The sequence below is a fragment of the Homo sapiens genome, chromosome 16 (genome assembly GCF_000001405.40).
Source record: "Homo sapiens chromosome 16, GRCh38.p14 Primary Assembly".
In the NCBI taxonomy this organism is placed as follows: domain Eukaryota; kingdom Metazoa; phylum Chordata; class Mammalia; order Primates; family Hominidae; genus Homo; species Homo sapiens.
Window position 1 is genome coordinate 18,919,310 of NC_000016.10, and position 20,513 is coordinate 18,939,822.

General features: G+C 46.6%; 1 protein-coding gene and 1 long non-coding RNA gene across 11 annotated transcripts in view, besides 6 other annotated features; one reads left to right on the forward strand and one right to left on the reverse strand.

Moving 5' to 3' along the window:
* SMG1 (SMG1 nonsense mediated mRNA decay associated PI3K related kinase) overlaps positions 1-7,099 on the reverse strand; it is a 121,549-nt gene extending 114,450 nt beyond the window's left edge. For 7 of the 10 annotated variants that reach the window (XM_047433796.1, XM_005255184.5, XM_047433793.1 and 4 more), the window contains exon 1: positions 6,641-7,099. In XM_047433796.1, coding sequence (XP_047289752.1) covers positions 6,641-6,732 — 92 coding nt within the window. In that variant the 5' untranslated portion in view covers positions 6,733-7,099. Of the gene's footprint in view, positions 1-6,369; positions 6,579-6,640 lie in introns of those variants that run through there. The other 3 variants (XM_047433794.1, XM_017023066.3, XM_047433795.1) reach the window with 2 other exon arrangements.
* Positions 4,073-4,132: an enhancer, noted in NCBI's record as "active region_10522". NCBI's record gives its function as "activates an Ori minimal core promoter by ATAC-STARR-seq in GM12878 lymphoblastoid cells {active_cell/tissue: GM12878}" and the evidence as "EXISTENCE:reporter gene assay evidence [ECO:0000049][PMID:35858748]".
* Positions 6,321-6,910: a silencer, noted in NCBI's record as "silent region_7237". NCBI's record gives its function as "represses an Ori minimal core promoter by ATAC-STARR-seq in GM12878 lymphoblastoid cells {active_cell/tissue: GM12878}" and the evidence as "EXISTENCE:reporter gene assay evidence [ECO:0000049][PMID:35858748]".
* On the forward strand, positions 6,878-17,907 carry SMG1-DT (SMG1 divergent transcript). The gene is made up of 2 exons (XR_001752094.2): positions 6,878-6,965; positions 17,547-17,907. It is a non-coding gene; the product is annotated as an SMG1 divergent transcript (long non-coding RNA).
* Positions 6,941-7,280: a silencer, noted in NCBI's record as "silent region_7238". NCBI's record gives its function as "represses an Ori minimal core promoter by ATAC-STARR-seq in GM12878 lymphoblastoid cells {active_cell/tissue: GM12878}" and the evidence as "EXISTENCE:reporter gene assay evidence [ECO:0000049][PMID:35858748]".
* Positions 6,941-7,578: a biological region, named in NCBI's record as "NANOG-H3K27ac-H3K4me1 hESC enhancer GRCh37_chr16:18937597-18938209".
* Positions 6,966-7,578: an enhancer, noted in NCBI's record as "NANOG-H3K27ac-H3K4me1 hESC enhancer chr16:18937597-18938209 (GRCh37/hg19 assembly coordinates)". NCBI's record gives its function as "activates a minimal SCP1, AML or CMV promoter by ChIP-STARR-seq in naive H9 embryonic stem cells {active_cell/tissue: H9 hESC(naive)}" and the evidence as "EXISTENCE:reporter gene assay evidence [ECO:0000049][PMID:30033119]".
* Positions 7,579-8,192: an enhancer, noted in NCBI's record as "NANOG-H3K27ac-H3K4me1 hESC enhancer chr16:18938210-18938823 (GRCh37/hg19 assembly coordinates)". NCBI's record gives its function as "activates a minimal SCP1, AML or CMV promoter by ChIP-STARR-seq in naive H9 embryonic stem cells {active_cell/tissue: H9 hESC(naive)}" and the evidence as "EXISTENCE:reporter gene assay evidence [ECO:0000049][PMID:30033119]".
* Positions 17,908-20,513: the final 2,606 nt, after the last annotated feature.

Sequence of the window (20,513 nt, forward strand, 5' to 3'; positions counted from 1 at the left end):
CAGTGAGACCCCATCTCTAAAAAAAAAATTTATGACCGGGCACGGTGGCTCATGCCTGTAATCCCAGCACTTTGGGAGGCTGAGGCGGGCGGATCATGACATCAGAAGATCAAGACCATCCTGGCTAACACGGTGAAACCCCATCTCTACTAAAAATACAAAAAATTAGCCAGGCATCATAGCGGGCACCTGCAATCCCAGCTACTCAGGAGGATGAGGCAGGAGAATGGCGTGAACCCGGGAAGCAGAGCTGGCAGTGAGCCGAGATTGCGCCACTGCACTCTAGCCTGGGCAACAGAGCAACACTCCGTCTCAAAAAAAAAAATGTGTGTGTGTGTGTGTATATATACACACACACACACACACACACACACACACACACACACACACAATCTCCCTAGAAGCATCAATATTTACTGAATTAGAGTATTTCATTACCTGTTATAAAAAACAAACAAACCTTCCATTATACTAATTTGTAAAGGAATCAAAACAAAAGGGGTTGGGGGGGTCCAGGCACGGTGTCTCACTCCTGTAATCCCAGCACTCTGAGAAGCCGAGGTGGGAACCTGAGGTCAGGAGTTCGGGACCAGCCTGGCCAACATGGCGAAACCCTGTCTCTAATACAAAAATTAGCCGGGCCTGGTGACATGCACCTGTAGTCCCAGCTACTCGGGAGGCTGAGGCACGTGAATCACTTAAACCCAGGAGGTGGAGGTTGTACTGAGCCAAGATCGTGCCACTGCACTCCAGCCTGGGAGACAGAGTAAAACTATGTCTTAAAAAAAAAGGCCGGGTGCAGTGGCACACACCTGTAATCCCAGCACTTTGGGAGGCCGAGGCAGGTGGATCACCTGAGGTCAGGAGTTCACGACCAGCCTGACTAACATGGTGAAACCCCGTCTCTACTAAATATAAAAAAGTTAGCCGGGTGTGGTGGCACATGCCGGTAATCTGATCTACTTAGGAGGCTGAGACAGGAAAATCGCTTGTACCTGGGAGGTGGAGGTTGCAGTGAGCCGAGATTGCACCATTGCACTCCAGCCTGGACAACAAGAGCAAAACTCCGTCTCAAAAAAAAAAAAAAAAAAGTTGGGGTGAGGTGAAGGTTCAACTTAAAGATACAATTACTAAGTGTTTCATAAGGAATGACTTATTTCATAATGGAGTAGGAGTTTGACACCAGCATGGGCAACATGGGGAGGCCCCATCTCTACAAAAAAATAAAAATAAAAAATTAGCGTGCCAAGCATGGTGGGTCACACCTGTAATCCCAGCACTTTGGGAGGCCAAGGAGGAAGGATCACTTGAGCCTAGGTATTCAAGACCAGCCCAGGCAGCATGGCAAAACCCCATCTCTACAAAAAACAAAAAAAAATAAAGTAGCTGGGGGTGGTGACATGCACGTGTGGTCCCAGCTATTGGGAGGGTGAGGTAGGAGGACTTACTGAGCCTGGGAGGTGGAGGCTGCAGTGAGCTGAGATGGTTCCACTGCACTCCAACCTGAGCAATGGAGTAAGACTCTGTTTCAGAAAAAGAGAGAGGAAGCCAGGCATGGTGGCTCACGTCTGTAATCCCAGCACTTTGGGAGGCCGAAGCCGGTGGATCACCTGAGGTCAGCAGTTCAAGACCAGCCTGGCCAACATGGTGAAATCCCATCTCCACTAAAAACACAAAAATTAGCCGGGCATAGTGGCATGTACCTGTATTCCCAGCTACTTGGGAGGCTGAGACAGGAGAATCACTTGAACCAGGAGGTGGAGGTTACAAGTGAGCTGAGATTGTGCCACTATACTCCAGCCTGGGCGACAAAGTAAAACTCTGTCTCAAAAAAAAAAAAAAAAAAGAGAGAGAGAGAGAGGAAAAATAAATAAATTAGCCTGGGACTAATTTATTAGTGGTGTGGTGGTATGCACCTGTGGTCCCAGCTACTCAGGAGGCTAAGGCGGGAGGATTCCCAGAGGAAGTCAAGGCTGCAGTGAGCAGTGATTGCACCACTGCACTCCAGCCTGGACAACAGAGCAAGAGCATATCTCAAAACAGAGGAAAGAAAAGAAAAGAAAAACATAAAAACAAACGTTCCTTTAGTTTTATTTTTCATTTTTATTTTTTAGTTTATTATGGCTGTTTTACTCTCCCCTCAAGTAAAATAGCCATACACAATTTGCTGAAATTTTCCTTAGTGTACTTTGAAATCCGTGGAACAGAACTGGAAATCACTGAATTCTATTTGACTCTAGTTCCATTTAATATTAGACTGGTGTGAAAGTAATTGCGGTTTTTGCCAAAACCGCAATTACTTTTGCACCCACCTAATAGGTATAAAATATGTAACTTCACTTAATTTTATCCTTTATGTATTTCCCCGTATTATGTACCTATGGACATCAAACTTAGTACAGACTGATAAAAGGCTGAATAGACAACTCTGGTTTCAAAAATCCAGCTTCTCACAACATCAGACATACTAGTATACAGCTTTTCTAATTTCACAACACATTTCCATTTCTTGGTCTTTCACAACAGAGAAGATGTGTGTACTTTTGAATACTTTAATCTGTCTACAATCTACCAAAATTGGAAGGTCTTTTTATTATACAGTTTCATCCTTTTAGAAGTATAGAAAGATCCTAAGTTTGGGCACAGTAAGACACTCAATATAGATCTACTACTAAACAAGTAAGACCAATTACACAATTAATGTCCTAAAACCCCGAGTGGAGAAGTAAAATCTACTTGTTTTCTGTTGACTTGAATGCCTTCTCTTCTTTGTTGAATTAATCAATCTATTTGACTCCAATGTCAAATTAATCAGTCACTTTAGAATATTAAAATGTACAATTATGAATTACACATTTAATTTTAAAACACATCATTCTGATCTCTGTCTTGATTGATACTAGAAGATTATCTTCCAAACTAAGGTGGAAAAAATGACAGACTTTAGCTATTGGCAATGATAGGTCATTTTTTTAGGGAAGAGGAGTAAAGAGGGCAACCTCCATAGGTCAGATATCCCTTTGTTCTAAGAAGCCACCACCCCTGTTTCTTCATATGAAAAAAACCAGAGGCATCCAGTGGTTCCCAAAACCTTCTCAACTTTACGCTTGAGGAACCCATAGATTTCAAATAATACAACTGACCTAAGACCACTCATTTGTTTAACCATTCTTTGAGAAGGAGTCTTGCTCTGTTGCCCAGGCTGGAGTGCAGTGGTGTGATGTCGCTCAGGACAACCTCCGCCTCTCAGGTTCAAGTGATTCTCCTGCCTCAGCCTCCCGAGTAACTGGGATTACAGGCATGCACCACCATATCCCGCTAATTTATTTATTTATTTATTTATTTTAGTAGAGACGGGGTTTCACCATGTCAGTTGGCCAGGCTGGTCTCGAATTCCTGACCTCGGGTGATCCACCCACCTCAGCCTCCCAAAGTGCTGGGATTACAGGTGTGAGCCACTGCCCCCGGCCTGCTTAACCATTCTTAAATGTCGGGTGCGGTGGCTCACACCTGTAATCTCAACACTTTGGGAGACTGAAGGTGGGCAGACTGTTTGAGTTCAGGGGTTCAAGACCAGCCTGGGCAACGTGGTGAAAACCCCATCTCTACAAAAAATACAAAAATGAGCCGGGCTGTTGGCAAGCGCCTGTAGCCCCAGCTACTTGTGGATGCTGAGGCAGGAGGCTTGAGCCTGGGAGGTCGAGACTGCAGTAAGCCAAGTATCTGTGCCACTGCACTCCAGCCTGGGTGACACAGCAAGACCCTGTTCTCAAAAAAATTTACAGAAGAGTTGACTGGGAGCACAGTGAATGAAAAGGAAGACTATAAGCCAGTGCCATATAAATGCTTACTGTTGGAGGTATGCTTCTATGGAACACGGGTTTGCTCTCTTGCCATAAGACATTCACGTATACAGCCACCTGCAACACTTCCTGTCAGTATGTGTGAAGTATCATGTGTGGTCAAAATGGACTCAACAGTCATTTTCCACACCAACTGGCAAACTAACACTAAAAGAAATCAACAAGTGTTGCTTTTTCAAAAGCCTAAATCGGCTGAGTGCGGTGACTTACACCTGTAATCCCAGCACTTCGGGAGGCCAAAGCAGGCGGATCACCTGAGTCAGGAGTCCAAGAACAGGCTGGCCAACATGGTGGAATCCCGTCTCTACTAAAAATACAAAAATTAGCTGGACGCCTGTAATCCCAGCTACTCAGGAGGCTGAGGCAGGAGAATTTTTCCTTGTAACCGGGAGGCAGAGGCTGCAGTGAGTCGAGATGACACCACTGCACTCCAGCCTGGGAGACAGAGCAAGACTCCATCTCAGGAAGGAAAAAAAAAAGGCCTACATCAAGGAAAACAGAACCAAAACACCAGGGACAAAATGGTACATAAGAGGCAAAAAAAAATTAATCAAAATTATTCAGATGAACCATAATAAATGTGCCTGCATCTGAAGATGTTCTAAACCTTCATTTAAGCAAGAAGCAAGATCAAGATCCGTTCTGTCAGTTACCTGGAGTCTGTCGTCTTTCTGAATAGGGGACAGAATCACCTCAAATTTAACTAATAAAAATTTATGACTTGGCAAACACCCCAGGTATTTTTATTGACTAACAAATCAGCTATGACAATCTTAGCAACAAATCAAGTTATGCTATGGGGTATGTCCACACTTCCCTGTTCCCTCTACAACAGGAGAAAATCAAATCTTTCCAACATCCTAACAAACTGTTACTCCCTATAACCAAATGTATATCACAGTATCGTCTACCAAGGCGTTACATCCTGAAACTTTCTTACAAAAAGCACAGCTTCAAAGAAACCTTGTAAGCTTTCTTGTAAGCTCCTCCCTTCCCCCATCGCCCCTCCCCAGAGCCAAGAAATAAAGCACTTGAAAGAAACAACATGGATAATATTTATTAATAGCTCATGTACATATTCCATAACTACATAAGCCATTTGGCTTCATACCTGTCAGCAATGAAGTCAGCTGGCCCTAGCACGTGGCTGCGACTCTTCTCTATTTATTTAGAACTACCAACTACAATTTACACTTTTCCAAAAGCTGTAGGACTATTTGGGAAGGGCACTTTATTCTTCTAAAAGGTTACTAAATTCTCTTATATACTTATACTGATCACAATACTGAAAAATAATAGAAAATCCATTGTCATTTATTTACCACCTAATTTGTTAGATGCCAGAAAATCAAATTTCACACATTTCAATAAAAAGGCAAAACTAAGCATGTCAATCATAGAAAAAAATACTTAATCAACTAATTTTATTTAAAGCACTCACAAACTCTTAAGTGGTACAAGACAAGTCAACGCTGTTTATCGAACAATATTTTTTTTTTTACGACTAAACATCTCAATTCTAGACTCAGGCACTAATTATTAAAGTCATCTAGTTATATACACCAATTCTCAACAGACACAGTATTTGGAAAGGCATATTAAATAGACTAAGATGTGTACCACCTATTAGCCAAAGATAATTTTATTGATTTTTCTAACGAGTCTTCAAATGTTACATTCTAACATCTTAGCAAATTATTTCCAAATACTGCTGGAATTACATGTAACTATCAGGAAACAAAAGGGCTTCCCAACAACTTGCGCGTTCTACATTATTTGGCCAGTTTCTGGACAATTATAACAATTGTGCTCCAAAGTAGGAGAGTTCCATGAATCAATTACCCCTAAAATATATTTCTGTATATTTAAGGAGTTCTAAGCATTGGGTTAAATTCCAAACAGACTCTGAATACAAGCATTTATTAAGAGAGATTAGAATAAATCAGTCCTAAATTAGGCACAGCTGCCCTCCCATTGATCAAAAAGACAGGAAACTACATTTATTTAAAAAGTTAATGTTCCTAATATATTCAAATCTCACTAAGCCCCAAAACGGTCTGAGATCAAATCCTCCATAAATGAGGAAATTCTCTAGACTTCTAAGTGGGTGCCCAAAGAGTTCACTCAAGTGTCCAGGTATGAATTACGATTCACCAGAGTAACCGGCCTTGCACTTAGGGAAAACTTCCATCGCCCAAGACCAGCGTGGGTCGATCCCATCAACAGTCACACAATCTCATCTCATGCTCCACTAATGAATGTTCTGCCTAGAGTCAGAGCAATGCCTTAGCTGGAGTTTTGTTTTGTTTTTTTCAATATTAACACGTGGGGGTCACAGAAAGGAACAGAGGTTAGAAGAGCTCTCACGTGGCGGCTGAAAGAGTGGGGAACCGAGAAAGTGAATGAGTAACAGGGAGGGTCCTGGACTCTCAGCATCTCCCAACTCGGGGTCAGGGGGAGGCTGTAACTGGAATGCCCCCCACCCCCACCCCCGCCTCTTTCTCACCTCCTGGTCCCGACCCCAGGCCAGTGCCACCGCCGGGAGCCCCGGGTCTCGGCTCCAGCCCCGGGCTGAACAAGCAGGGAGGGGAGGCACTTAGGCCTCGCCTCCCCGCGGCCTTCCTCCCCCAGCCGGGGCGGAGGAGACCCAGGAAGCCGCGCCCGGCTCCGAGGGGTGGAGGGCCTAGGCCGCGCCTCCCAGCCCCGCGGCCCTAGGCCTCGGCCCGCCCGAGGCGGAGCCCGGGAGGTCGGGGCGGGGTCCCGGGCCGGTCACCCACCTGGGTTGCCAGTCATTCCAGCTCCGCGGATACTTGGTGCCGCCGCCGCCGCCGCCGCTGCTCAGCCGAGACCCCGGGGCTCTGCGGCTCATTACCTTCCCCGACACGACATGGCCAAGCGCCGCCGCCCAAAGAAGCGCGAGTCGCCGCCCGAACCGGCCGCCGCCGACACCCCGCTCCGGCCCGGGGCTGAGGAGGAAGCCGAGAAGGAGGAGGAGGAGGAGGAGGAGGAGAAGGAGGAGGCGGCGGAGGGCGGGGGAAGAGGACGGCCGTTCCGGGTTCCGCCTGAGCCCGCAGCGCAGGACGAGGAGGCGGGAGCGGCGCGGTGAGAGAGAGGCGGATGAAGGGGAGGCGACGTCTTTTCCAGGGCCGTGCGCGGCCCACGTCGCCGGGGCCCCGGAGGACGAGGACGACGAGGAGCAGGCGGTGGCGGCAGCTCCTCACGCTCACACGGCCACTGCTTCCCCGCCTCCCGGCTCCGCCCGCCGCGCCGCCGCTGTCGCACGGCATGCTGGGAGCGAGGGGCGGGGTTGGCGCCCGCCGGGCCTGGGGAGAGAGGCGGGTCCTGTCGGCGGGGCGGAGCCGAGAGAGGCGGGGTCGATAGCAGGCCGCCCCGCCCCCCACGTCCCCAGGCCCTTGGGCGGCGAAGAGGTCTGGGCGTAGCGGTGACGAATCCTAAGACAGGGGATCTCCACTACTGCGGCCACACACTTTTCTCCCAAACGCTTCCCGGAAAGCACCGGAGGGCCGGGCAGTCAGGTGTAAACAGGCGTCCAATCAAGGACCTGCGGTGTGGGTGGGGGCTGGTGCCCTGCGGTGCGCGCGCACACAGGCGTGCCCTTGGATTCACGTGCGCCAGTTTTCCCACTTTCTACGGGGTGGGGTGGAAAGTGAAAATAGTAAGATCGAGAGGTGGATATCCACCTTCCCAACCTCCACCTGAAATGTGCCCATCGAGTCCTGGCACCTTTTACCATTTCTTCACAATGAAAAAAACTAAACGATGGAAGGGAAGGGAGTACCCACGATCACCAAACCCTGTCCTCTGCAATGTGAAATGTGCTTTGAAGTCCTTTCACCCTGAGGCTTGCCCGCCTTCTGCTGGTGAAAGAAGCTGGGGGCTAGGCGCGGTGGATCACGCCTGTAATCCCAGCACTTTCGGAGGCCGAGGTGGGCGGATCGTCTGAGGTGAGGAGTTCCCGACCAGCCTAGCCAACATGGAGAAACCCCGCCTCTACTAAAAATACAAAAATTAGCCGGGCATGGTGGAGGGCGCCTGTAATCCCAGCTACTTGGGAGGCTGAGGCAGGGGAATCGCTTGAACCCAGCAGGCCGAGGTTGCAGTGAGCCGAGATCAGACCATTGCAGTCCAGCCTGGACAACAAGAGTGAAACTCTGTCTCAAAAAAATAAAAGAGAGAGAGAAAGGAGGGAGGGAAGAAAAAGGAAGGAAGGAAGGGAGGAAGGAAGGAAAGGAAAGGAAAGGAAAGGAAAAAAGAAAAGAAAGAGAGAAGGCCGGGCGTGGTGGATCACGTCTGTAATCCCAGCACTTTGGGAGGCCGAGGCGGGCGGATCACGAGGTCAGGAGATCGAGACCATCCTGGCTAACACGGTGAAACCCCGTCTCTACTAAAAATACAAAAAATTAGCCGGGCGTGGTGGCGGGTGCCTGTAGTCCCAGCTACTCCTGAGGCTGAGGCAGGAGAATGGCGTGAACCCGGGAAGCGGAGCTCACAGTGAGCAGAGATGGCTCCACTGCACTCCAGCGTGGGCGACAGAGCAAGACTCTGTCTCAAAAAGAAAAAAAAAACAAAGCAGCAGCTGGGTAGAGGAGACGTACCCGACCGTCTACCCCATGACGTGTCCCATGCCCCAGGGAAAAAAGTTCCCTAAAGCATCTGATGCATAACGTGAATGCACACACGTTTTTTAAAAGTTGGGCCAGGATGCTCCTTAAACGAGTGTCTAAACCGTATCTGCATAAGGAGTCATAACCTATCATTTTATGTTGCAAAGAAAACGTCTTTATATATCGCTTGTGCAAATAAATATTGTTACCAAAAGTACTTGAAGATTACGAGGAGTTGACCCCTTCACACACATGCATATCCCCTCCACCTTGGGCTCCTTGCTTATGGCCACCAATCCCTCACTAAGGGAGGATCCTGCCAGTTCTAAATGATGGGGACTACAAAAATTACAAAAATTAGCTGGCGTGGTAGCGCGTGCCTGTGGTCCCAGGAACTCAGGAGGGTGAGGCAGGAGGATGACTTGAGTCCAGCGGGTGGAGGCTGCAGTGACCTATGATCCCGCCACTGCACTCCAGCCTGGGCTGCGGAGGGTAGGGAGGGAGGGAGGGAGGAGAAGAAAAAGAAAAGGAGGGGCACCATGGATGGCTGACTCCTGTAATCCCAGCACTTTGGGAGGCCGAGGTGGGTGGATCATTTGAGGTCAGGAGACCAGCCTGACAAACATGGTGAAACCCCATCTCTACAAAAAAATACAAAAATTAGCCAGGCATGGTGGCGCACGCCTGTAGTCCCAGCTATTCGGGGAAGCTGAGGCATGAGGATTGCTTGAACCCGGGAGCCAGAGGTTGCAGTGAGCCGAGATCATGCCACTGAACTCCAGCCTGGGTGACAGAGCAAGACTGTCTCCAAAAAAAAAAAAATCATTTAGGTGAAGTGATTCATGCCTGTAATTCCAGTGATGGGAGGCTGAGACTGGAAGATCCTTGAGCCTGGGAGTTATAGGCCAGCCTGAGCAACATAGTGAGACCCCCATCTCTACAAAAATTATTAAAATTTTTTTTCAGACACAGTTTCACTCTTGTGGCCCAGGCTGGAGTGCAATGGTGCGATCTCAGCTCACTGCAACCTCTGCCTTCCAGGTTCAAGCGAGTCTCCTGCCTTAGCCTCCCAAGTAGCTAAGATTACAGGCACATGCCACCATGCCCGGCTAATTTTGTGTAAAAATTTAAAATTTTTTTACATTAGACAAGTTAGAAATTGCTTGAGCAACTGGACACAATCTCTGGTACTACCTTTCTTTTTCTTTTTAATTTTTTTATTTTATTTTTATTATTTTTTGAGATGGAGTCTCATTCTGTTGCCCAGGCTAGAGTGCAGTGGCACAGTCTCGGCTCACTGCAAGCTCTGCCTCCCGGGTTCAAGCCATTCTCCCGCCTCAGCCTCCCGAGTAGCTGGGATTACAGGCGCCCGCCACCAAGCCCGGCTAATTTTGTTTTTTATATTTTTAGTGGAGACGGGGTTTCACCGTGTTAGGCAGGATGGTCTCAATCTCCTGACCTCGTGATCCGCCCGCCTCGGCCTCCCAAAGTGATGGGATTACAGGCGTGAGCCACCGCGCCTGGCCCTCTTTTTCTTTATTGGTCAAAATATTATCCATCTAGGCATATGGATATGGAGGCATGCCTGTGATCCCAATTACTTGGGAGGCTGAGGTGGGAGAATCGCTTGAGCCCACGAGTTTCAGGCTGTGGTGAGCCATAATGGTGCCGCTGCACTCCAGCCTGGGCAACAGGATGAGACCATTTCTTAAGGGGACGGAAAAAATCACTCTGGCTGTGGCAGATTTCCTTAGGATAGATTCCGAGAAGTGGAGTTATTGGGGAAAAGGCTGTTAATGATTTTAAGTCTTTGGATACAGACTGTTAAGTTGCTTTCCAGAAGTTTCTGCCAATGATAGTCTGATACTTTCTGTGTCCTCACACCACCCTTTGTCAACACTGAGTGTTTTTGAGGGTTAATTATTTCTATGAGAGAAGTTAAAAAAAAAAAGACAACAGAGAAATTGCTTCAGGTGGGGCATGGTGGCTCACGCCTGTAATCCCAGCACTTTGGGAGGCTGAGATGAGAGAATCACTTAAGCCTAGGAGGTGGAGGTTGCAGTGAGCCTAGATCGTGCCACTACACTCCAGCCTGGGCAACAGAGTGAGACTCCATTTCAATAAAATTAATCAAATGAATCAAACGTGAGCAACTCTCATAACTTCCAACATTTTTTTCTTCTTCCTGTTGGTGGTTCTGCCTCTCTGGTTCCATTAGGATTTCCCTACTCCATTTCAGTCATGGGAGCCGAGTTTCTGTTCCTGAAACACACCAAGCCTTTCTGGCCTCTGGATTTTTGTACTTGCTGTTCCCGCCATCTGGAATGCCTTCCCTGCATTTGTTCCCATCAGGGTTGGGACTAGCAACGTGACAGGTGATGGAGTTGCTGAGGGTGCAAAATTTAAGGAGGCACCTACTCCCAGGGTCATGCAAAAGCCAACTTTGCATTTGCACAATCCTGTGAGTAAGTCCCTCCTTAAATTTGAGGCTCTGCCGTAATCCCAGCTACTCAGGAGGCTGGGGCAGGAGAATTGCTTGAACCTGGGAGGCAGAGGTTGCAGTAGGCTGAGATCCTGCCATTGCACTCCAGCCTGGGCAACAGGGCGAGAATCCATCTAAAAAAAAAAATGAGGCTCTAGGCACCACATTTGCCCTACTCTGGCCCCTGCCCTGATTTTCCTGGCCTGTCTCATCTCCAGACAGGTTTCTTTGACGTCCCTTGCCCATAAAAGCTGGCCAGTGCCCTTTCCAGGTACTCTGTCACATACCCTATTTCTTTCCTTGGTAGTACCCAGCACCATCTGCAAGTATTGGGTTTCTTTGCATATTTAGCATCGGTCCAACCCTTAGGATATCAGCTTTGCAAGAGCAAAGGTCACATCTATCTCAGCCTACCTCCTCCATACTCAGCACACAGCACAGCACCTGACCATAGGAAGCACTCAAGAAATGGGAGGAATGAAATGGAAATTATCTAAAATAAGGATCAAGATTGATACAGAAGTATTCATCTCAGTTTTACTTATTAATAGCAAAACAAAAACAAAACACCTGGAAATTATACTAATGCTCAACAATAGGAAACTGATTAGGATGCAGTACATTCAGAGCTGAAATTTTCTGCAGCCATTACAAATTACATTTGTGAAGTTTTGTTTTTTTTTTTTTTTTTTTTGAGACAGAGTTTTGCTCTTGTTGCCCAGGCTGGAGGGCAATGTCTCGATCTCGGCTCACTGCAACCTCCACCTCCCGGGTTCAAGCGATTCTCCTGCCTCAGCTTCCCGAGTAGCTGGTATTACAGGCGTCTGCCACCATGCCCAGCTAATTTTTGTATTTTTAGTAGAGACAGGGTTTCACCATGCTGGGCAGGTTGGTCTCAAACTCCCGACCTCAGGTGATCCGCCCGCCTCCGCCTCCCAAAGTGCTGGGATTACAGGTGTAAGCCACTGTGCCCGGCCTAAAACAAAAATTTACAAAGCTAAAAGTAAGCATTCAATAAATAGGTGTTGAATGAATGAACAGAGAATGAATACTCTTAGAGTGTGGCAGTGACTCAGACAGACCAACTGAGTAAACTTTAGCCAAGACATCAAGTCTTAGCTCTAAAAATAGTGACCAACTCTACCTAATGTTTATTGAGCATTTATTTTTTATTTTATTTTATTTTATTTTATTTTGAGATGGAGTCTTGCTCTGTCGCCCAAGCTGGAGTGTAGTAGCAACATCTCGGCTCACTGCAACCTCCGCCTCCCAGGTTCAAGCAATTCTCCTGCCTCAGCCTCCCGAGCAGCTGGGACTACAGGCATGTGCCACCATGCCCAGCTAATTTTTGTGTTTTTAGTAAAGACAGGATTTCGCCATGTTGGCCAGGCTGGTCTCGAACTCCTGACCTCAGGTCATCTGCCCACCTCAGCCTCCCAAAGTGCTGGGATTACAGGCATGAGCCACGGCACTCGGCCTTTATTGAGCATTTACTAATGCAAAACCACTCAGTCAAATGATCAATATGAGTTGTTACTTCAAGGAATTCCCCCAAACCAAGCTAAGGTAGGTTTCAATGTGGCATTTTACACTTTGGGGCTGTGATACCAAGAGAAGCTAGCTCCCTGCACAAGGTCACCCAGCTGGTAGCAGGCAGGGCCAGGAAGGGAATGTCACAGGCAGAGACAGAAGGGACATTTGGCCCCAACTCCACATTCGTCAAAGGCGTCAGATTTAGACCTTTGACGTGATCGCCTAGTGAAGTTAGACCCAGAGTCCCAGAGACACTCGAACAGGAAGGAAGTCTGAAGTTAACAAACTATGTCCATTACCAGCTCACACACCTGTAGAGGCTGTGCATGGCATTCATACTTCCTAATAAATTATATTATTACCTGGTGAACATGTAATTACATCGCTTCATAGTTTGTTTCCCCTTGTGTTAAAAGTGTTCAAAACATAAAAAGGAAACAAAATATAGTACAAATTGTGAATGCTCTTTGTTATTTCTTAAATTTTTGATACACTCAGAACCTCAAAAACTGTGAGTAACGTGATCCTGTCTTAACTCCTAAAAGATCTTCCAGTAAGGATTCGAACACAAACCAACCCCAGGGTCTTTCATCACCAGGATTTTCCTAGAAATCTTCCAAACTTCCTAGAGAGACACTGTACTGACATTTATTCTCTAAGTAAACAAAAGAGAATTCTCTCTTTTGTTTTCTTTTGACCCTATGTCTGGCCCAGGATTAACCCCTATTAGGCACCAAGAATTGAGGAACTTTATTCTCAACCAGGAGACTCAACTTACATGGGTGATTTTTAAAATGCAATCTTAAAAGCAAATCCACATCATAAAGACATTAAAGCAGATTTTTCAAAAAGAAAAACAGCAGCCTTCTTGTTCCTGCTCCCAGCTAGGAAATCTTTGTCACAGGTCAGGCTCCCTCAGTAAGGGCTATTTTTATAGCGATTTTTCAAGCTGGTGCAGGAGGAATTTGGCTGAGAAACCTCATGACACATTTGAAATCTCCACTTGGGCAGTCTCAGCTTGAGGCAGGGGCCAAAATTCTATGAATCAGGGCACAAGAAGTGCTGCCCAGTGGCTCGTGCATTCTTTCAACAATAAAATAGGAAGCCGGTGATGCTCATCTTAAGCTATTTGTAACTTTTAAATTGGAGAAAACAAGAAAGTGAAATTCCCTTATGTTTGGTCCTGAGCTGCCCAAGGACTGGCATGGTGATTTTAATGGAGCTAACTCCTTTGCTTTCCCTGATTAATCCATTATTAGGAATATATGTAAATAAAATGCAAACTTATGTAAATAAAATCTCCCAACAGCAAGTTACTGCCCTCTATTGTTTATACAGTTATCATTTAACATGCTGGACGCAGTGGCTCATGCCTGTAATCCCAGCACTTTGGGAGGCTGAGGTGGGTGGCTCACCTGAGGTCAGGAGTTCAAGACCAGCCTGGCCAATATGGTGAAACCCAATCTCTACTAAAAATACAGTCTTGGCTCACTGCAACCTCTGCCTCCTGGGTTCAAGCGATTCTCCTGCCTCAGCCTCCCGAGTAGCTGGGACTACAGGCGTGATCCACTGCGCCCAGCAAGTTTAACTCTAAAGAGTTAAAGAGACTACCAAATAAGGGAAGGATAAATATTTCACTTCAGAACTTCTAGTTGAAATAGGATCATTTAGCTTCTTTGGGACACTGCTATCTATGTCTTAGCTGAAATGATTTCTTCATCCCATACCAGGGAAGCAAATGGAGGCTTATTCCATAAAGTGTTTTGTGCTGTATAATTTGAAGGTCACACTGCTTGGCATAGTGTTTTCACCATCCCCCAGGCATACCACGTCTCAGAGGACCCTCCCTGCTGGTCCCTGGAAGAGGCTTCTCAGATAAAGCAGGACTTAAGGTAGTTTTTAGATGAAGGGGAGCAGATGGCTGAGTATTACATCACCTCAGGTAAAGGAAACAGGGATATGAAAATAATAGGATTGTAGAAAAATAATAGTCTAATCTCCAAATTATCAACAAGTATTGGGGAAGTGTTTACTCCCAGCAAACATCAGGGATGGAAGGGGACTAATAAAAGCCTGGCCCTGTACTACTCAATTTAAAAGCAGATACCATCTTTTTTACCTTTGTGTCAAACTAATAACAGCCACTTACTAAGAATTTTATTTTTATTTCTTTTCTTTCCTTTCTTTCTTTTCTTTCTTTCTTTCTTTTCTCTTTTTCTCTTTCTTCTTTTTTTGATGGAGTCTAGTCCGTCACCCAGACTGGAGTGCAGTGGCACGATCTCGGCTCATTGCAACCTCCACTTCCCGGGTTCAAGCAATTCTCCTGCCTCAGCCTCCCGAGTAGCTGGGGTTACAGGTGCCTGCCGCCATACCCGGCTAATTTTGCATTTTTAGTAGAGATGGGGTTTCACTATGTTGGTCAGGTTGGTCTCGCACTCCTGACCTCAGGTGATCCACCCACCTCAGCCTCCCAAAGTGCTGGGATTACAGGCATGAGCCACTGTGCCCAGTCTCTCTCTTTTTCTTTCTTTCTTTTCTTTACTTTTTTATTTTATTTTTATTTTTTTTGAGACAGGGTCTTGCTCTATTACCCAGATTGAGTTGCAGTGCTGCAAACACAGCTCACTGCAGCTCAACCTCTTGGGCACAAGTGATTTTCTCACCTTAGCCTCCCAAGTAGCTGGGACTACAGGTGTATTCCACAACATACACTGGGCTAGTTGGATTTTTTTTTTTTTTGACGGAGTTTCACTCTTGTTACCCAGGAATGGAGTGAAATGGCGTGATCATGGCTCACTGCAACCTCTGCATCCAAGATTCAAGCAATTCTCCTGCCTCAGCCTTCCAAGTAGCTGGGATTACAGGCATGTGCCACCACACTGGCTACTTTGTATTTTAGTAGAGACAGGGTTTCTCCATGTTGGCCAGGCTAGTCTCGAACTCCTGACCTCAGGTGATCCAGTCACCTCGGTCTCCCAAAGTGCTGGGATTACAGGTGTGAGCCACCATGTCCAGCCTTTTTATTTTATTTATTAATTTTTTTTTTGAGACAGAGTCTCACTCTGTCGCCCAGGCTGGAGTGCAGTGGCACGATTTCAGCTCACTACAACCTCCACCTCCCGGGTTCAAGCGATTCTTCTGCCACAGCCTCCTGAGTAGCTGAGATTACAGGCACTTGCCACCATGCCCGGCTAATTTTTTGTATTTTTAGAAGAGAAAGGGTTTCACCATGTTGGCCAGGCTGGTCTCCATCTTCTGACCTCGTGATCTGCCCGCCTCGGCCTCCCAAAGTGCTGGGATTACAGGCGTGAGCCACCCTGCCCGCCCAGAGATGGGGTCTTTCTATGTTGCCCAGACTGATCTTGAGCTCCATGCCTTAAGCAATCCCCCCACCTCCCACAGAGGAGCTGGAGACCAGCCTGACCAACATGGTGAAACCCCGTCTCTACAAAAATGCAAAAATTAGCCAGGCATGATGGCAGGTGCCTGTAATCCCAGCTACTTGGAAGGCTGAGGTGGGAGAATCGCCTGAACCCGGAAGGTGGAGGTTATTATGAGCTGAGATCATGCCACTGCAGTCCAGCCTGGATGACAGAGCAAGACTCCATCTCACACACACAAAAAAAAAAAAAAAAAAAGAAGAAGAAGAAAAAGAAGAGAAATACACCAGCTGGGCCTGGTAACACATGCCTGTAATCCCAGGACTCTGGGAGGCCAAGGTGAGTGATCACTTGAGTCCAGAATTTCAAGACCAACCTGGGCAACATGGAGAAACCCTGTCTCTACAAAAAAAAAAAAAAAAAAAAAAAAAAATTTAGCCATGCATGGTGGTACACACCTGTAGTCCCAGCTACTCAGGATGCTGAGGTGAGAGAATTGCTTGAGCCTAGGAGGTGGAGGTTGCAGTGAGCCAAAATTGCACCACTACACTCCAGCATGAGTGATAGAGTAAGACCCTATCTTAAAAATAATAATAATAAAGAAAAGAAATAGACTTATAGCTATCTATATATATGTTATGTAATGTTATATAGATATAGGAAAAGGCTGGAAGGATATTGTGACAGTTAATTTTAATGTGTCAAATTGACTGGGGCACAGGGTGCCCAGATATTTGGTTGAACAGTATTCTGGGTGTGTCTGTGAGGATATTTTTTTTTTCATTACTTTTTGAGACGGGGTCTTGCTTTGTCAGCCAGGCTGGAGTGCAGTGGTGCAATCATGGCTCACTGCAGCCTTGACCTCTCAGGCTCCAGTGAGCTTCCTCCCTCAGCCTCAGGTGTAGCTAGGACCACAGGTGTGTGCCACCATGCCCAGCTAATTTTTTAATTTTTTGTAGAGACAAGGTCTCACTATGTTGCCCAGGCTGGTCTCAAACTCCTGGGCTCAAGCGAGTCTACTCCTTCAGATTCACAAAGTGTTGGGATTACAAGGCATGAGCCACCACACCCAGTCTGTGAGGGTATTTTTGGATGAGATTAACTTTTATTTATTTATTTGTTTGTTTTTTAAACAGAGTCTCCCTCTGTTGCCCAGGCTGGAGTGCAGTGGCATGATCTCGGCTCACTGCAACCTCCGCCTCCCGGGTTCAAATAATTCTCCTGCCTCAGCCTCCAGAGTAGCTGGGATTACAGGTGCACACCACCATGCCTGGCTAATTTTTGTATTTTCAATAGAGATGGGGTTTCACCATATTGGCCAGGCTGGTCTGAAACTCATCTCACGTGATCTGCCCACCTCAGCCTCCCAAATTGCTGGGATTACAGGCGTGAGCCACCGCACCTGGCCAATTTTTGTGTTTTTTATAGAGATGGGGTTTTGCTATATTGGCTAGGTTAGTCTCAAACTCCTGACCTCAAGTGATCCTCCTGCCTTGGCCTCCCAAAGCACCCATGTGTGCCACCACACCCGGCCCATAGTAATTCTTCAAACATCGACCAACTGGTGGTTCTTGGCTGCTGAGAAGCCAGACCGGACAATGTGTGTGCACCTGCTATTCTCCATTGGTCCCTGCAAATCTATTCTCCATCTTTCTCCATTCAGCTCTGCAACCCAGAGAGTGACCTGCATGGAGCGTGCCAGCTGAATCCCTTGTCCTGTGTCTTCTGGCTGAGTTCTACCATAGGAAACACCGCCACGTGGGAGAACAGGAAGACATTGATGTCTGGGTGCTTATTCCTAAAGCTTCCTCCCTGAGGTCACCTGGAGGTTGCTGCATCTCTCTACTGAAGGCCACAGTTCCTGTCATATGACTGTCTCCATCCAGCTGCCTTCTCTAAGTTCCAGCAACCACTGTCTCTCTCCCTTGATCTTTGAGCCTAAAGGTAATGCAGGCTCCCTGATGTTGCTAGCCCTAGGATACTGCAGCATTCTTTGTTAGTTTACTAAAACCCTCTGTAAATAACCCTTTGCTACACTTTCATCATCTTTCTTTCTTTCTTTTTTAGAGACAAGGTCTCCCTCTGTCACCCAGGCTAGGGTGCAGTGGCACAATCACGGCTCAGGACCGGTGCAAGAAGGGAAGGTTGCATTCATAAGTTAGCAAACTTCAGAAAGCTCTTTGAAAAAAAAAAAAAAAAAAGAATCTTATTACCATTTTGTTTTTGTAGAAAGCCCACTTGATAAAAGTATTAATAACACACATGAGAAAGAGCTCACAGTGTTTTCCAGAAAAAAACACTTTGATTCTATAAAAGAGGTCAGTAGACTACAATATGAAGAATCCTTCTGTTGGCTTAACTTTTAGACTATATGACAAGTTCTCTGACTATAAAGACACTGATCAAAAGAACTCAGTTTAGCACAATATCCAAAGTCCAAAGTACAAGCAATAAAAGAAGAATCAGGTAAATTAGACTACATCAAAATGTTAAACTTTTTGCCTCAAAGGACACCATCAACAGGGTGAAAAGACAAAGCATGGAATGGGAGAAAATATTTGCAAATCATATATTTGATAAAGGGTTAATATCTAGAATATATAAAGAGCTCCTACAACTCAACAACAACAACAAAAAAAAACCCAAAAATACAAACAAACAAAACCAACTCTTTTTACTTAAAAAAAGGGGCGGAAGTTTTTTGTTTGTTTTGTTTTTGTTTTGTTTTGAGACAGGGTTTCACTCTGTCGCCAAGGAGTGCAGTGGCACCATCTCAGCTCACTGAAACCTCCACCTCCTGGGTTCAAACGAAAATATTTCTTTTCGTTTCTGTTTTTGTTGTTGTTGTTGTTGTTGTTGTTATTGTTGTTGTTTTTGAGGCAGAGTTTCAGTCTTTTGCCCAGACTGGAGTGAAGTGGCGGGCGCAATCTCGGCTCACTGCAACCTCCACCCCCCTGGGTTCAAGCGATTCTCCTGCCTCAGCCTCCCGAGTAGCTGGGATTACAGGCACCCGCCACCACGCCCAGCTAATTTTTGTTATTTTTAGTAGAGACAGGGTTTTGCCATGTTGGCCAGGCTGGTCTCAAACTACTGACTTCAGGTGGTCCACTCGCCTCACCCTCCCAAAGTGCTGGGATTACAGGCGTGAGCCACGGCGCCCGGGCAACTTTGTCCATTTTCGCCAGGAAGGCTGAAAGAGTTCTGAGGTGCTGCTTGATGCTGTAGTAAATCTCTTCTCTGTTTCTGTTTGGATGAAAGGAGTATATCTATATTCATGGCGCACTTAGAAAATGTAATTTTCTCTTACAGGTAAACAAATGATGGAGGAGGGAAGCTTAAGGGACAGGAGATTATGTAGGTGATAGTTTCTGGGCCACTTCCTGTTTTAAGTACCTTTTTTATTCCCCGCTTTCCAATTTGTAAAACATTGATGTGCTCACTGACATTGGACAGGGCACTTAATCTCCCAAAACCTTCATTTGCTCATCTGCAAACTCAAGGGTTTGAGTTAGACCGTGGCTTAGTGGTTTTCCAACTTCATTTTATTTTATTGAGACAGGGTCTCACTCCATCGGCCAGGCTGGAGTGCAATGGTGCGATCTCGTCTCGCTGCAACCTCTGCCCTCTGGGTTCAAGTGATTCTCCTGCTTCAGCCTCCTGAGTAGCTGGGATTACAGCACCCGCCACCACGCCCAGCTAATTTTTTTTGTTGTTGTTTTTTGAGATGGAGTTTTGCTCTTGTTGCCCAGGCTGTAGTGCAATGGCGCGATCTCAGCTCACCGCAACCTCCACCTCCTGCCTCAAGCAATTCTCCTGCCTCAGCCTCCGGAGTAGTTGGGATTACAGGCATGTGCCACCACATCCAGCTAGTTTTGTGTTTTTAGTAGACACGGGGTTTCTCCATGTTGGTCAGGCTGGTCTCCAACTCCCGACCTCGGGTGATCCCCTCGCCTTGGCCTCCCAAAGTGCTGGAATTACAAGACTGAGCCACCGCCCAGGGCCAAACCCAGGCATTTCTGACTCCAGTTGTGCCCTCATGTCTTAAGATGTAAAATCTTCCCGGAGGTAGCACCAGAAAGTTCAGGATGCAGAGATAGCGTGGGGCCTCATGATCTTTTAAAAAATATATTGAGCATTTATTACATGCTGCACCCCGCACTTTAAATGACCTGCAAGTTTATTATTATTATTTATTTATTTATTTACTTTTTTGAGACAGAGTCTCGTTCTGTCGCCCAGGCTGGAGTGCAATGGCGCGATCTTGGCTCACTGCAAGCTCCGCCTCCCGGGTTCATGCCATTATCCTGCCTCAGCCTCCCAAGTAGTCGGGACTACAGGTGCCCGCCACCACGCCAGGCTAATTTTTTGTAGTTTTCAGTAGAGACGGGGTTTCACCGTGTTAGCCAGGTTGGTCTTAATCTCCTGACCTCGTGATCCGCCTGCCTCAGCCTCCCGAAGTGCTGGGATTACAGGCGTGAGTCACCGTGCCCGGCCCTCCTGCAACTTTAAATGACCATAAGGATGATTCATCTATCACCTGCTACCATCAGATAACTGATGGCAATAAATACCTGAGTTTGAAGATATAAATTTGAAAAGAGAGGAAATACTACTTGATTCCTAGGATCAA